The sequence below is a fragment of the Homo sapiens genome, chromosome 18 (genome assembly GCF_000001405.40).
Source record: "Homo sapiens chromosome 18, GRCh38.p14 Primary Assembly".
Taxonomy (NCBI): domain Eukaryota; kingdom Metazoa; phylum Chordata; class Mammalia; order Primates; family Hominidae; genus Homo; species Homo sapiens.
Genome location: NC_000018.10, coordinates 57,039,291 through 57,052,905, shown reverse-complemented (window position 1 = coordinate 57,052,905; position 13,615 = coordinate 57,039,291). Strand labels below are relative to the sequence as shown.

The 13,615-nt window shown below is 47.7% G+C and overlaps 2 long non-coding RNA genes across 2 annotated transcripts, besides 1 other annotated feature; both read right to left on the bottom strand.

Moving 5' to 3' along the window:
* Nucleotides 814–1,033: an enhancer, noted in NCBI's record as "active region_13366". NCBI's record gives its function as "activates an Ori minimal core promoter by ATAC-STARR-seq in GM12878 lymphoblastoid cells {active_cell/tissue: GM12878}" and the evidence as "EXISTENCE:reporter gene assay evidence [ECO:0000049][PMID:35858748]".
* LOC105372136 (uncharacterized) lies at nucleotides 1,424–2,810 on the bottom strand. Its single transcript, XR_935515.2, has 3 exons — nucleotides 2,770–2,810; nucleotides 1,883–2,335; nucleotides 1,424–1,668 (listed from the first exon to the last, which is right to left on the bottom strand). It is a non-coding gene; the product is annotated as an uncharacterized LOC105372136 (long non-coding RNA).
* An 800-nt stretch (nucleotides 2,811–3,610) lies between these two features.
* Nucleotides 3,611–12,927, bottom strand: WDR7-OT1 (WDR7 overlapping transcript 1). Its single transcript, XR_001753461.2, has 3 exons — nucleotides 11,288–12,927; nucleotides 8,709–8,946; nucleotides 3,611–7,110 (listed from the first exon to the last, which is right to left on the bottom strand). It is a non-coding gene; the product is annotated as a WDR7 overlapping transcript 1 (long non-coding RNA).
* Nucleotides 12,928–13,615: the final 688 nt, after the last annotated feature.

Here is a 13,615-nt window from a genome sequence, read left to right as displayed (position 1 = left end):
TTTTAAAGCTGAAGGAGTCATGGGGCCCAGCCCAGCTCACCAGGCACAGAGGCAGCACATTGAATATTCACCTCCTCCTTCAGCGTCCATTTCCCTCCATCCATCCTGGTTGTGTCTCAGGACTGGCAGTGAACCGGAGAGACAGAATCCCTGTTCTCAGGGACCCACCATTCCAGATGATGACGGTGCCTTCAATTAAATAGCACTGTCACATCACAATCACCCATGATTCTATCGCCTGTTGTTGAGTATATTGTTCTACCAACTTACAGATGAGGGAATAGGACCCAAGAAGCCCAAGGGCTTGGCCATGGTCTGGAAGCTTATAAGGGAAGGACAAATCCTTGAAGGCAGTGCCTTCTGCCCCCGACCCCCCAACCCCCAACCCATGCCAACCCACAGAGAATTACTGGGCCTCATCTCTACAAATCAGGGGTTCTCAATGTGGGCACTTCTCCAGGGGACGCTTGGCAATGTCTGGAAACATTTTTGGTTGTTACAACTGGGGGTGCTACTGGCATCTAGTGGGTAGAGGTTGGGGATGCAGCTAAGCCTCCCACAAAATGCACAGCAAAGAGTGATCCACCCCAAATGCCAAACAGTTCTTGTGGCTGAGAATAGAGGCAGGGCGGGGATTTATGTTATTTAACACAGTAGATTGGCTGTTTCATAGAAGTAGTGTGAGATAAATACGTTCTTCACTTTACAGAAGAGAAAATTAAGGGTAAAAAGTAATGAATGCTAAAGGTCCCATAACTAGAACCAGGTAGAACTGGGACCTAAACCAGCATCTGTCCTGCTCTAAGTAATCATAGCTTTGCCCCTGAACCTCCTGGTCACCTTGGGGCCAGCAGACTAGGCTCAGTGCGAACAGGAGGAGGCCTGGGTCTGAAACAGCTTGAGAAGCACCTTACCCCAAATCCCCACAGATCTGAGGGCTCCTTACTTGCTGCTGTCCCCAGGGCCCTGCCCAGTGCCTCATTTCCCACTAAGGAAATCCCCTTGAAATTCTTTTCTTGGTTGTTTTTTGTTTGGTTGGTTTTGGTTTTTTGCAGGTGCTGAGGTTCAGGAGTCTGCACTCAGCTTGTCATTAAATCAGGCTTAAACTGGAAGTCTGGCCAGACTGGGGCGGGTCTCCAGTTATCTTGTGTGACAGCCACAATGGCTCGCCTGGCTTCTGTCCAATCTGGGTAGGTCTCCAGTTATCTTGTGTGACAGCCACAGTGGCTCGCCCTGCTGCCACCACCCTGGCCCCTGCTCTGGGGGTGCTTGGAGCCTCCCACCCACCCCACAAAACTGGATCCATTAAAGGGCTTTCCAGGCCACACCCAGCTAAGTTCACAACACCCCCTTCCCTGGCAGGCTGGGGCCAGGAGGGGCCCTCCCTTTCCTTGGAGGGATGAGCTGGGACAGAAGGCAGGGGAAGGAGATCAGAGATTCCCTCCATTCAATTCAGAAATAATGGATTCCTACAGAAAAGTCACTTCCAGGGACAATTTGGTGGTACCTGCTGATTGGCATCTCTTTGGAGGATTTATTTATGGGCACACAGTTCTTGAAACCTACTGGAAGGTGGGCCCAGCACCAAGGACCCACTGGGGCAGGGCGTTTCTGGAAGTAGTGCAGCTGGTTCCCACGGGAATGCAGATGCAGAGGAGGCCAACCCAGCTTCTCCCAGTGTAGCAGCCATAAAGTCAGGGGATAGAGAGGAGGGAGGGAGAGAGAGGAAATGCTTTGCAGGGCGTTGCACACTTGCTGGGCTTCTCCCCAAGGCCTGGGGCTCCTCTCCTCACCCTCTTCTGGCCCCTTCCTTTTCTCACCCTCCTCACCCCCACCTAGGCTCTAAGTGAGGAAAGAGGTGCCACTCACTCCCAGGACTCACCCCATCCGCTCCCCAGAGTGAGCCTTCTCAAAGCCTCAGAAGGAGGAACATTCCAGAAGGGAATTGTTCCTGTGCTTGAGATGGAAAGAGTACGTTAAAGTGGTCCAGTGGGCAGGAGAGATGGTCAGAGGCATGGCCCATCTGCCAGTCAGGGCTGGGGTTTGCAGACATCAGCCTGGCCAAGCTGGGACCTTTGTACCCCAGCCCAGATGCCAGTGAGGTCAGCGAGGCCACGTCTGAAATGTAAAATGCAATCATGGCAATAACTTCCCTGTTTCCACGTCTCACCTTTATGACACATTGTTTGGCTGGGGTTTAAGGAAGCAGAACCACTAGGAGTGATGTAGAATGAGCAGCCCACTGCAGGGATTTGACTGCTGTGGGAGCTGGGCACACAGTCTTGTTTCTTCTGAGTGGGGTCATGTGCCTGAAGTCCCAGGGCCAGCGTTGCAACTGAAAGACAGGAGTGACAGGGGAGAGCAGGGACAATGGGAACCCCCAGTGGACAAGGTGGAACCTGCCTTGGCCTCTCTGTCTCCAGGCTCCAACCTGGCTACCCAGGAGGCCTGCCTGCAGGAGGAGGCACGCTTCTGCCCTGGAACTATGCTGGCTCACACCTGGCCACAGTTTGGAGCAGCTGAAGGAAGGAGTCTTCTGGGAGATGGGAGACTGGGGAAGGTAGGGGTGTGCTTGGGGAACTGAGAGGAGGTGGGGAACATATATTAATAATATACCCATACTAGCCGGGCAGTGGCTCAAGCCTGTAATCCCAGCATTTTGGGAGGCTGAGGCAGGCGGATCGCTTAAGCCCAGGAATTCGAGACCAGCCCAGGCAGCATGAAGAGACACCCCCCACCCCGTCTCTACAAAACAATACAAAAAATTACCCAGGTGTGGTGGTGCGACCCTATAGTCCCAGCTACTTGGGAGGCTGAGGCAGGAAGATCACCCGAGCCCAGGAGGTGGAGGTTGCAGTGAGCCGAGATCATACCACAGCACCTCAGCCTGGGCAACAGAGGAAGACCCTGTCTCAAAATAATAATAATAATAATATTCATCATCATGATCATATACCCATACAAATCTAACTCAAGGGAGGTAGGGAGAGGCAGGGGAGGTAGGGGAGATGGGGGACTTGCAAATAGGTTGGGGAGGAGAAATGATATGGGTGGAGTTGGGGGTCAGGGGCTTCTTGAAGTGCTTTAGCCAGGCATGAGCTACAGGAGTGCCTGCAGGGACCATCCAGGATCCGAATGGCTGAGTTTCCCATCCGCTTCACCCATCTTGCACAAATTTCACCTGCACGAAGCCGGAAAGGGAATTATAGAAACTGCTATTCAGCTTAGAAGTTGACAAATTGCAAAATCACCAGATTTTAAAATTCCATATATGGTTGTGGTTTGGTTTTATAGTTCAGGCTCTTGTGTATTTTTAAACAGGTGTGTGTGTGTGTGTGTGTGTGTGTGTGTGTGTGTGTGTGTGGACTCCCCTTGGATTGAACATACCTCTGCTTTTCTCAGCGGAATTCCTTTGAGGAACCCTTGAAATTCTGACAGAAAAATGAGCGCCACAGTAAGAAATCTGCTGGAAAAGAATGCGGGACGTGTGTGTTTAGTGTGTGTGTGTATTCAGGCCGTGTGTGTCTTGGTGTGTGCGCCCTGTCTCCAAACTCATTTCATGCTGGGGGTGGGAAGACAAATGGAAAGGAAAGAGTCAAAGACAACAACAGAAAACGAAGCTGCATATTGCGGCTGTGAGGCCAGTGTCCTTTCCCCAAGAACCAGATGCAGATTTCAATCAATTCAATCAATGGGCAATGTTTGCCGGCCATAAAAATAGCCCAGAGGTTGCTGGTCAGCGGCTCTAAGATGGATGACCAGTGGCCCTGGAGGTCCCAAAGGTCAAAGATGACTATCACCTTAAAATGTAATCTGTGCCGGCCCCCAGCCCTGCGGCTGGCGGGTGGGGCGGCATCTGCAGCCATGCCCCAGGCCAGGCCACTCTCAGCCACAGCCTGGCAGAGGGCCTTCCTGGAGCCACAGCCTGGCAGAGGGCCTTCCTGGATCCTGGGCCGTGGGGTCTGCCTGTCCATCCTCCAGAGCCCTGGCCTGAGGCTGCTGTCCTGCCCGGCAGGGATGCTGCATTTTCTCCATCCGTCACTGCTCGCCATGATGTCCCATAGGAGGCTGCAAAAGAGCAGGGCTGCCGTTTGGCTTTCACCAGGCAAACCCTCGCCTCCTGCCGCTCTGTGTGGCTGCGGCAGTTTCTTAGGTATCATCGTCTTTCATTTGTCGTGGTGAGAAGGGATAATGGCAGCCATCCCTCTGTCCCTGGTAAGCGATGATTGAGAGGCCTTGCCGTCCTCGGCTTCCTCCCCTCCTTGACTACAGCTCCCTCATTTCATTTGGCTTTTTCCTCCCTCCTCAGTCGGGAATCACCTGCTGCTTCTTCATCCAGACATTCTTTCCCGGGCCTTCCTGCATCAGCATAGGCAGGGAGCCATGTGAAGTGAATCTCAGAGCCTTGCAGCTCATCTTGAAACCTCTTTCTCCTCTCCCTGTTCACTGTCTGAGGAATGCCACCTTTCTTCTCCCCATCTTTGGTTCAGTGGTCTCGTTACTTTTCCCATCTGCTGTGTTGCATTCGGACAGTGCTTAAGGATGAGGAAGGCCTGATAAGCACTTTGTTGAGTTGCATTGTCTCCTGAAAAGGGCTGCTTCCCTTTCTGTCCACTGTTGCTGACTGGTTGCTGGGGTTGTGCACTCGAGAGCAGGGTCTGCCTACTGGTTATCAACGTCCTTCCACAAATCATCGCTGTTCGGCTATTTAATGGTTGACGTGTCACCAGAAGATGCAGTATTTCCCAAAAGTTAGGAAGCAAATAAATTATTACAGTTTAAAAATGAATCTATTTATTGATCTCCTTCTTTTACACTATTAATGCTAATTGTTTTTCATGGTGCATGCATTTGGGATTCATCGAAATGAATTCTTAATGAATTTCCAAACACGAAAATTATAGCAGGGTAACAGATAGCAACAAATCATTCTACCATTTCTCAAAGGCCTTCTGCTCTGAAGGGACCTTGCAATATGAGGAGGAATCGCATGTGTTTGTCTATAAGATTTGAGATAGTGCTGCCAATTGTGTAGATGTGTGGGTGGACACTACAGCTAGCTACATTGTTTGAGCACCTACTGTGTGCCAGGTTCCAGGCTAGATTGTTTACATTGTTTCATTGAATATGCCCAAAAGCCCAAGGTCAGTTTTGTCATTTCCACTTTATTTATTCAGAAACTGAGACCCAAAGAGGTTCACACATCTATCAAGTGGAGAACCCAAATACAAGCCCAATTTAATCTGGCTCTAAAGCCCACGCTCTTTCCCCTGGGCCAATCTCTGTGCTGGACAGGTATCACACTGGCTGCAGCAGGTTCATGACAGGGGATGTGGTCACTGATTCTGCCCATCTGTCCCATCAGAGTAAACCTTGGGTCTTGCTGTTGAATGAGTCCAAGTCACAGCACATAACTCACACCTCACATTGGTCTGTTCCTTCTTAACCATCACATCAGACAAAAGGCAGCATTGTGCCCTCTTACCTCTCTTGAAGAAGAGGAGACCACTATCTGTCTCCCCTTATTCCTCTGTAGTAATTTTTGAGCTAGACAAGTGGCCAAGCCAAAGACTATACTTCCCAGGGTTTCTTGCAGCTGAGTGTAGCCATGTGACTATCAAGATGTGAGCAGACTTAATGTGTGCCATGAGTTTGGATGTGTGCCTTGAGTTTTGATGTTTTGATGTGTGTCTTGAGTTTTGCCTTTAAAGGAAGGAAAGAGCGTTTTCACATCTTCTTGCTGTCTGGAATTTAGATCTGATGGTAGGTGTTGAAGGTGGCTTCTAGAAGCTGGAAAAAGGCAAGGAAAGATAATCCTCCCGAGAGCCTCAGCCAGCCCTGCCGACATTGAGACCTAACCCAGTGACGATGATTTTGGACTTCCCACCTCCAGAACTGTAAAATAATAAATTTGTGTTGTTCTAAGGCATTAAGTTGGAGAAACTTATTATGGCTGCAATAGGAAATATAATGGGGGAATCCAGATAAAAGGAGAATCCAGTCCATGAAGGAAAGGGCATGCCAGGGTGAAGCAATAACGCTGTTCTGCATGCTCCCAAATCCCATCAGTGATCTTCTCCCCAACCTTCAAGGTCCAGCAGCAGCCTCCTCTCAGAAGCCTTCCTGGACCACACCAAGCAACTGGCTTCCATGCTGATCTCATCAGAGAAACTACATACTGGTATAGAAAGATAGGGCCTCTTGGGGAGGAAGTGAATGTAGCCCCAGCCCTGCTAATCCAGAGCCTAGCACAAGCTGCCCTTCCTTGTGGAACACCTGGCACCATAGTTACCATCTGTGCAGACCATGGTGCCTTGGAGTTTCAGCCATTCAGAAGAACAAAGTAGGCCCAAAGGAGGAAAGAAGGAGGTACACAGGCAGTATTCCTTCTAGCGAGGCTAGTGTGTGTTGGCCTGAAGGCCCAACAGGCAAGATCTATCTCTCCAAAGGGGAAGGGACCATCCTAGAATTGCCAATATGGCACCTGTCTGCTCCCTTCCCACCTCCCCTCACCAGGTTGTGAAAACTTGACCTCACAATCCTTCCCCTGTTAAGAGAACTTGACCTCACAATCGTTCTCACATAGAGTTCCAGAAGGCCACCACCAAGTGGTTGGAACTTGCCATCCCTGCCCCAGACCTTAAAAGTAAGAAAAGCAATAATTAAAACGGCTTCACCATTTGCATAACAACCACCACTATGATTATTACTGGCAGGAATCATCAATGGCTGCCAAAATTACTGCAAAAATGTATGATGGGGAACAGTGTCTCTGCATAATCTCAAAGCATTTCCTCATAAGACACATATTAATTATAAAGGAAAAAAATCATAGTTTACATATTTTATAGTTGAGAAAACTGACAGATACTACCTTAATCATGTGATAAAAGTGGACATTGCCAGGAATGACCATCATGTTCCTCTTGATACACTGCACTGAGAAGGACACAATGTCACTGCTGTGGTCTCCTGGCAAAAAAAAAAGCACAATCTGAATCTAATCATGAAGAAACATCAGGCAATCCTGAATTGGGACTGTCTGCAAAATAACTAACCTGTACTCTTCAAAAGTGTCAAGGTCATGAAAGACAAAGGAAGACTGAGGACCTGTCAGAGATGAGAAGAGTCTCAATTGGTATCAGAATCAAAGAAACTGTGGGGTCTTGGATTGGATCCTGGACCAGAAAACGAACATTTGCTGACACATTTGGTAACATTTAAGGTCTGTAGCTTAGTTTAACAGTATTGGTCAATGTTAATTCACCAGTTTTGATTCTTGAACTATGATTATGTCACATGTTACCGTTTGGGATGCTGAGTAAGGGCACATGGGAACTCTTTCTTCAACTTGTTTGTAAGTCTGAAATTATTTCAAAGTAAAGAGTTTATTTAAAAACTTTCTCTATTATCTGAACACTTTCATATTACTGATTTGATTTTATCCTAATTACAACGTCTCAAGAGGGTGGCATTATCTATATTTACTGAGAAAATGGGAGATTAAGTAAGGAAAGTGATTTGTCCAGGTCACCAGCAGGGAAGTAGCATGCAGACCTGAGACTTGAATCTGAATTTCCTATTTCCAAATCCTAGTTGCCTTTCCAACTAGAATGAACTGGCTATGCTACATGTCTTCATAAAAGAAGAAGATGACTTTTTGAGAGACTTGGGTCTAACCAGGACATAGTCAACAGTCCCGCTCTGGGGGCATTCTGATTCCATCTGCCTTCCCTCCACCCATGACCCCACAGGTGCATGCACAGCATCATCCATATCAGAGATAGGCTGACCCCCTTGCCAGTCCTTGCATTCACCAGCAATTCCACCCTTCTCGAGGCTAAAACAGGGCCTCTTTTCACCACAAATAGGGTTTTCAATGCACTGGGGAGTAGAAAGGATGCTTGCAGGGTTCTTAGCCAGGAGTTCAGTTCAGCAGGAACTTTGAATCTATTTAATTCTGGTTACAAATGAGTTGACTTCAGCTCCCAATCTATAAAAGAATTGTTGAGAAACAGAGTGTTGAACTTGGAGGGAGCTCATTTGGGTTCTGAGCTCTGATTGTCAGGGATTTTCATCCCAGTTTTCCCAGGATTGGCTAGGTTTATGTCTGTTGTCCTGGGGTAATTATTAATTGTTCCATCTTTCGCCCTCAAAAGTGTCCCAGTTAGGACAAGAAACTATCTGGTCACCACATACAGTAATTATCTGGTTGAACCTCTGATTTTCAAGGAAAGAACAGAAGGCCCAGCGAGGTGGAGTAACCTGCCCAAGGCCACACAGTCCTTCAGTAACAGTGTCTCCATTGGCTGCAGTACTATTGCCAGGGATGACCGGTTTTAACTATTTTGGTTGGGACTTTGGTGTCAGTACCTTCTACCCCAGTTCTCAGTTTCATCCTTGGTTGCTTTCTTTGGGGCTGGGTCTCGCTCCCTGCAATGGAAGCAGTTGCCCTCCCTTCGTCATCTCCCTCTGGGGAAGCTGTAGTAGTCTCCTAATTGGTCTCCTCATGCCTTCTCTTACTCCTCTCCAATCTCGCACATCAGCCAATGGTTTCTTCGAAACACAAATCTCATAGTGTTCTCTTCCTGTTAATGCCCCATCCCACACCAACCCTGTGTGACCTGACTCCTCTTGCAAACCACTCCCTACCCCCGCATCTTCCTTTCCCCCTTTTGCTTATAACTACTGCTCTTTATCTGTCTCACCCACGGGAATGTAAGCTCCACAAGGGCAGGAACCAGGTCTCTTCTGATTCAAAGTTACATCCCTGGTGCCTCTTAAATGCTCAGCACCATGGATGATCAATGAAGATGAGATGTCCTTTGCAGGGACACGGATGACTTGTAGTCCTGACATTCTGATTCTATGGAGTTGATCAGAAAACCACTTAAGGCACCCGGGCCCCAGTGGTACAGCGTTTTCCCTGGATCCGATTCCTTTTTCCTATGATGCAAAGAAACATAGAACTAGAAGAATAACCTTACAGAATATGATCTATGTAAAATGAAACATCCCGAATCTCACATCTCCATACACTAGCCTCATCTGGAAGCTGCTGTGGTTCTTGTCATGCCCTTTTCATCTCAACCTACCATGTTTCTGGAACATGAACATGAACATGGACAGAAATCATCCTATCAATCCCCCTCAAACAAAAACCAAACACATGATAAAGCCATACTGGTCTTCTGACATCAGCCTTTCCAACCCCTCCGTCATACAGATGGGAAAACAGATGCCCCAGAGAGATTGGCTTTAGGATCTGGGCTTGGGCCAATCTTTTGATGGGGAGCAGCATACCTTAGTGCACCCCTGTGCAAGAGGCCTGGGCTTCCACCTTGGGACACAGTGAATGGTGGTGCCCAGAGCCAGTCCCAGCCTGGTGCCTAATGAAACTATCAACAGCACCTGTGAGGTTCCACATGGACTCCTGTGAAGTGTTTCTTAAACTGTAGGTGCACACGAATCATCCAGGAAGCTTGCCAAAATGCAGTTGTGACCCAGGAGGTCTGGGTGTGACCTAAGGTTTTACATTTCTAAATAGCTCCCAGGGGATATGGATGCGGCTGGTGCCCAGACCACACTTTGCTTTTTAGTTTTTGTTTTTGTTTTTGTTTTAATTATACCTTAAGTTCTGGGATACATGTACAGAACGTGCAGGTTTGTTACATAGGTATAGGAATACCTGTGCCATGGTGGTTTGCTGCACCCATCAGCCCGTCATCTACATTAAGTATTTCTCCTAATGCTATCCCTCCCCTTGCCCTCCACCCCCGACAGGCCCTGGGGTGTGATGTTCCCCTCCCTGTGTCCATGTGTTCTCATTGTTCAACTCCCACTTATGAGTGAGAACATGTGGTGTTTGTTTTTCTGTTCCTGTGTTAGTTTGCTGAGAATGATGGTTTCCAACTTCATCCCTGTTCCTGCAAAGGACATGAACTCATCCTTTTTTATGTCTGCATAGTATTCCATGGTGTATATGTGCCACATTTTCTTTATCCAGTCTATCATTGCTGGACATTTGGGTTGGTTCCAAGTCTTTGCTATTGTGAACCATGCTGCAATAAACATACATGTGCATGTGTCTTTATGGTAGAATGATTTATAATCCTTTGGGTATATACCCAGTAATGGGATTGCTGGGTCAAATGGTATTTCTGGTTCTAGATCTTTGAGGAATCACCACACTGCCTTCCACAATGGTTGAACTAGTTTACAGTCCCACCAACAGTGTAAAAGTGTTCCTATTTCTCCACATCCTCTCCAGCATCTGTTGTTTCGTGACTTTTTAATGATCGCCATTCTAACTGGCATGAGATGGTATCTCATTGTGGTTTTGATTTTCATTTCTCTAAGTGATCATGAACTTTTTTTCATGTGTTTGTTGGCCACAGAAATGTCTTTTTTTGAGAAGTGCCAGACCACACTTTGAATGGTATGGCTGTAGCTCAGGAGTCAGTCACCAGTGTGGACTGAAAGTTTGTGTCCCCTCAAAATACATACATTAAAACCTAATCACCAAAGCAACAGTATTGGGAGATGGGAACATTGGGAGTTGATTAGGCCATGAGGGCAGAGCCCTAGTAAATGAGATTAGTGCCCTCATAAAAGAGGCCCCAGAGAGCTCCCTCACCCCTTCCACCATGTGAGGCCACAGCAGGAAGATGCATTCTGTGACCAGGAACTGGGCCCTCACCAGACACTGAACCTGCCCATGCCTTGATCTTGGACTCCCCAGCTTCCACAACTGTAAGGAATAAAGTTCTGTTGTTTATAAGCCACCCAGCTTATGGCAGTTTGCTATAGCAGCCAAAATGGACTAAGACAGCCACCTTGTCTGCTGAAGGGCCAGATAGTAAATATTTTAGGCTTTGTGGGCTAAGAGGCAAAATTGAGAATATTGCACAGAGAGAAAACAAATTTCCACACATTTTTTCTTGATGAAATTCAAAATATAATAATTGAATACATTTTTTTTTGGTAATTTTAGGAGTTCAGTAAGGGGAAAATCACCCTAAGCAGGTTTTCAACATGAGGAATGTAGACTCTACCCTTTTCTACCCAGACTCTTCTTTGTTATCTAATACCATATTTTACAAACAGCAAGAAATATAAGCCCCAGGAAGTGAAACAACAAGAATTGTTTCCAGTGCATTTCTGAGCCGGCAATGAAGCTTAGCCTTTGTCTTCAAGAAATAGATCCAATGTGACAGACACTGCAGCTTTGTATTTTTTGACTAAGTTATTAACCAATACATTTGAAGTAATTCAGCCTTCTACTCACCCTGTGGCTTGTCATGTGGGATGGTGTTCTGAGGGTTAACGTAAATACAGTTCGTAGAGGTGCGTCTCACTCCTGGAGCTGGTGTTCCTGACTGAGGGACTGCAAGTCTGAATAGTGTAAATGGAATCTGACTTCCCCACGGCAGCAATGCTATAATGTGGGATTATGTGAATGGGAATTTTCTGTGGAAGGATCCTACCTGCGAAGGGAACAGTAGCAGTGAAGGAATCAAGGTGTGAACATGGATGATGTTTTCCAAGAATGTGAGTATTCTGGACTGGCAAATGCCATTGGTCCCCCATCTCTCGCACTGGGGAACCCTGGGCTTCTGCCTCCTTCCTGACATTTCACTCACCAACTCCTCTAACTCCTGCCTCTTACATGTCCCTTGGCCCTTCCTTTTGGTGTCCATCACACCTGCAATAGTTTGAGTTCTCAGAATCTCTAGATGTGCAGCCATCCCTGGCCTCCCTGTCACAACGATCTCCATTTTCTAAACTATGATGCATCCTGCCACCAGGTTTAGCCAAGATATGGGATCATTGTTGCCCTGAAAATCATTGAGAACTCTCCAGACCTCTCAGGAAACAGCCTAGCTCCGTGTCACTGGCTACAAAGATCTTCATGCTGGCTTCAGCTCATGAGTTTGAATCACTTCATGCCATGTCACTGTACACTGTACAGTCTGTTTTCAAGGGTTGGCTGCAAGGGGCTCAGCCAGTGGGGAAGATGATTATATCATATGACAGGAGAAAGAGGTGGGTGTCTGCAGGGCTGGCTCCTCTAGAAGCCCAGTGATGTCACTGAGGATTTACCCCAGTAAGTTGGCTTGAGCCAAGGTGGGTTCCAACATAGGCCCAAAATGGCTTGTGGGTTCCCAGGTATCACAGATTCACACAGCTATGTCCACAGATAGAAACTTCTACGTGAATGTCTCTTTTCACTGGGGAGGAAAACCTTTCCCAAGAGCACCCCCCTCCCACCTCATGGGCCAGAATGGCACTGAAGGCCTTACTTATACCACTAGGCACTGCATGAGCTTGCTGGCTTGAATTAATCAAGCTTCCATTTCCAAGGCTGATAAACTCCAGCCTGAGCACATGGTCATTGGTGCAAAGAACAGAGCCAAGCCCAGGCTTAGAAGCATGGAATAAAGGGGAACATGGCTCTGGGTAAGGGACTGGCTACATCTGCTGCTCCCTGAAAACATCACCTGCCTTCACAGTTCCATGCCTTCAGTCACGTCTCCCCTTTGTCTGAATGTTCTTCCACCCTGGGAAACTCCTATTCATCTTTCAAGATTCAGCCATAATGCCACCACCGCTGCAGTGTGACTGTGTTGGGAAACTCCAAGTGGCAGAGAGCTGCAGGAAGCCTCTAGGCTCCAGCCAACAGCCTGCAAGGGCCTCCAGTGACAGCCAGCGAGAAAGTGAGGCCCCCAGTCCTACAAGCAGAAGAAATTGAATTCTGCCAACAATGACATGAACTTTGAAGCAAATTCTCTCCCTCACAAGCCTCAGATGGGACCATAGACCCAGCCAGCACCTTGATTGCAGCCTGTGAGAGATCTTGAGGCCAAGGCTCCTGGCTAAGCCTAGGCTGGATGCCTGGTTCCGAGAAGCTGTAATGCCATAAATATGTGTGTGTGTGCATGCGCGTGTGTGCATGCGCATGTGTGCATGCAAGTGTGTGTGTGCGTGTGTGTGTGTACGTGTGTGTGTGTGTGTTTTGAGACAGAGTCTCACTCTGTCGCCTAGGCTGGAGTGCAGTGGTGCCATCTTCGTTCACTGCAACCTCCGCCTCCCAGGTTCAAGTGATTCTCCTGCCTCAGCCTCCCAAGTAGGTAGGATTATGGGTGTGTACCACCACACTCAGCTAATTTTTGTATTTTTAGTAGAGATGGGGTCTCACCATATTGGCCAGGCTAGTCTTGAACTCCTGACCTCAAGTGATCTGCCTGCCTCAGCCTCTCAAGGTGCTGGGATTACAAGCATGAGCCACTGCACCCGGGCAAATGTGTTTTAAGAAGTTTGTGCTAATATTGTTACTGTATAGATAATTAACAAACCCCGTTTCCCCCAACCCACTCCAACCCATTCTCCACATTGCAGCTGAGTGGTGTTTTCTAGCTAAATTAAATCACACCTTTCAACTCACAATTTTTGGATGGTTTTTGAGTCCCCTAAGAGTGCCCTTGACCATTGTCTACAGGATTCAATACTGTCCAGATGCCTCACTTGTGGCCACACCTGGCTCATTACCTGCTGTCACTCTCCCTTCTGCCTCAGGGACCTCACACGTGCTATTTTCTTCTCTAGAAGCTCTTCC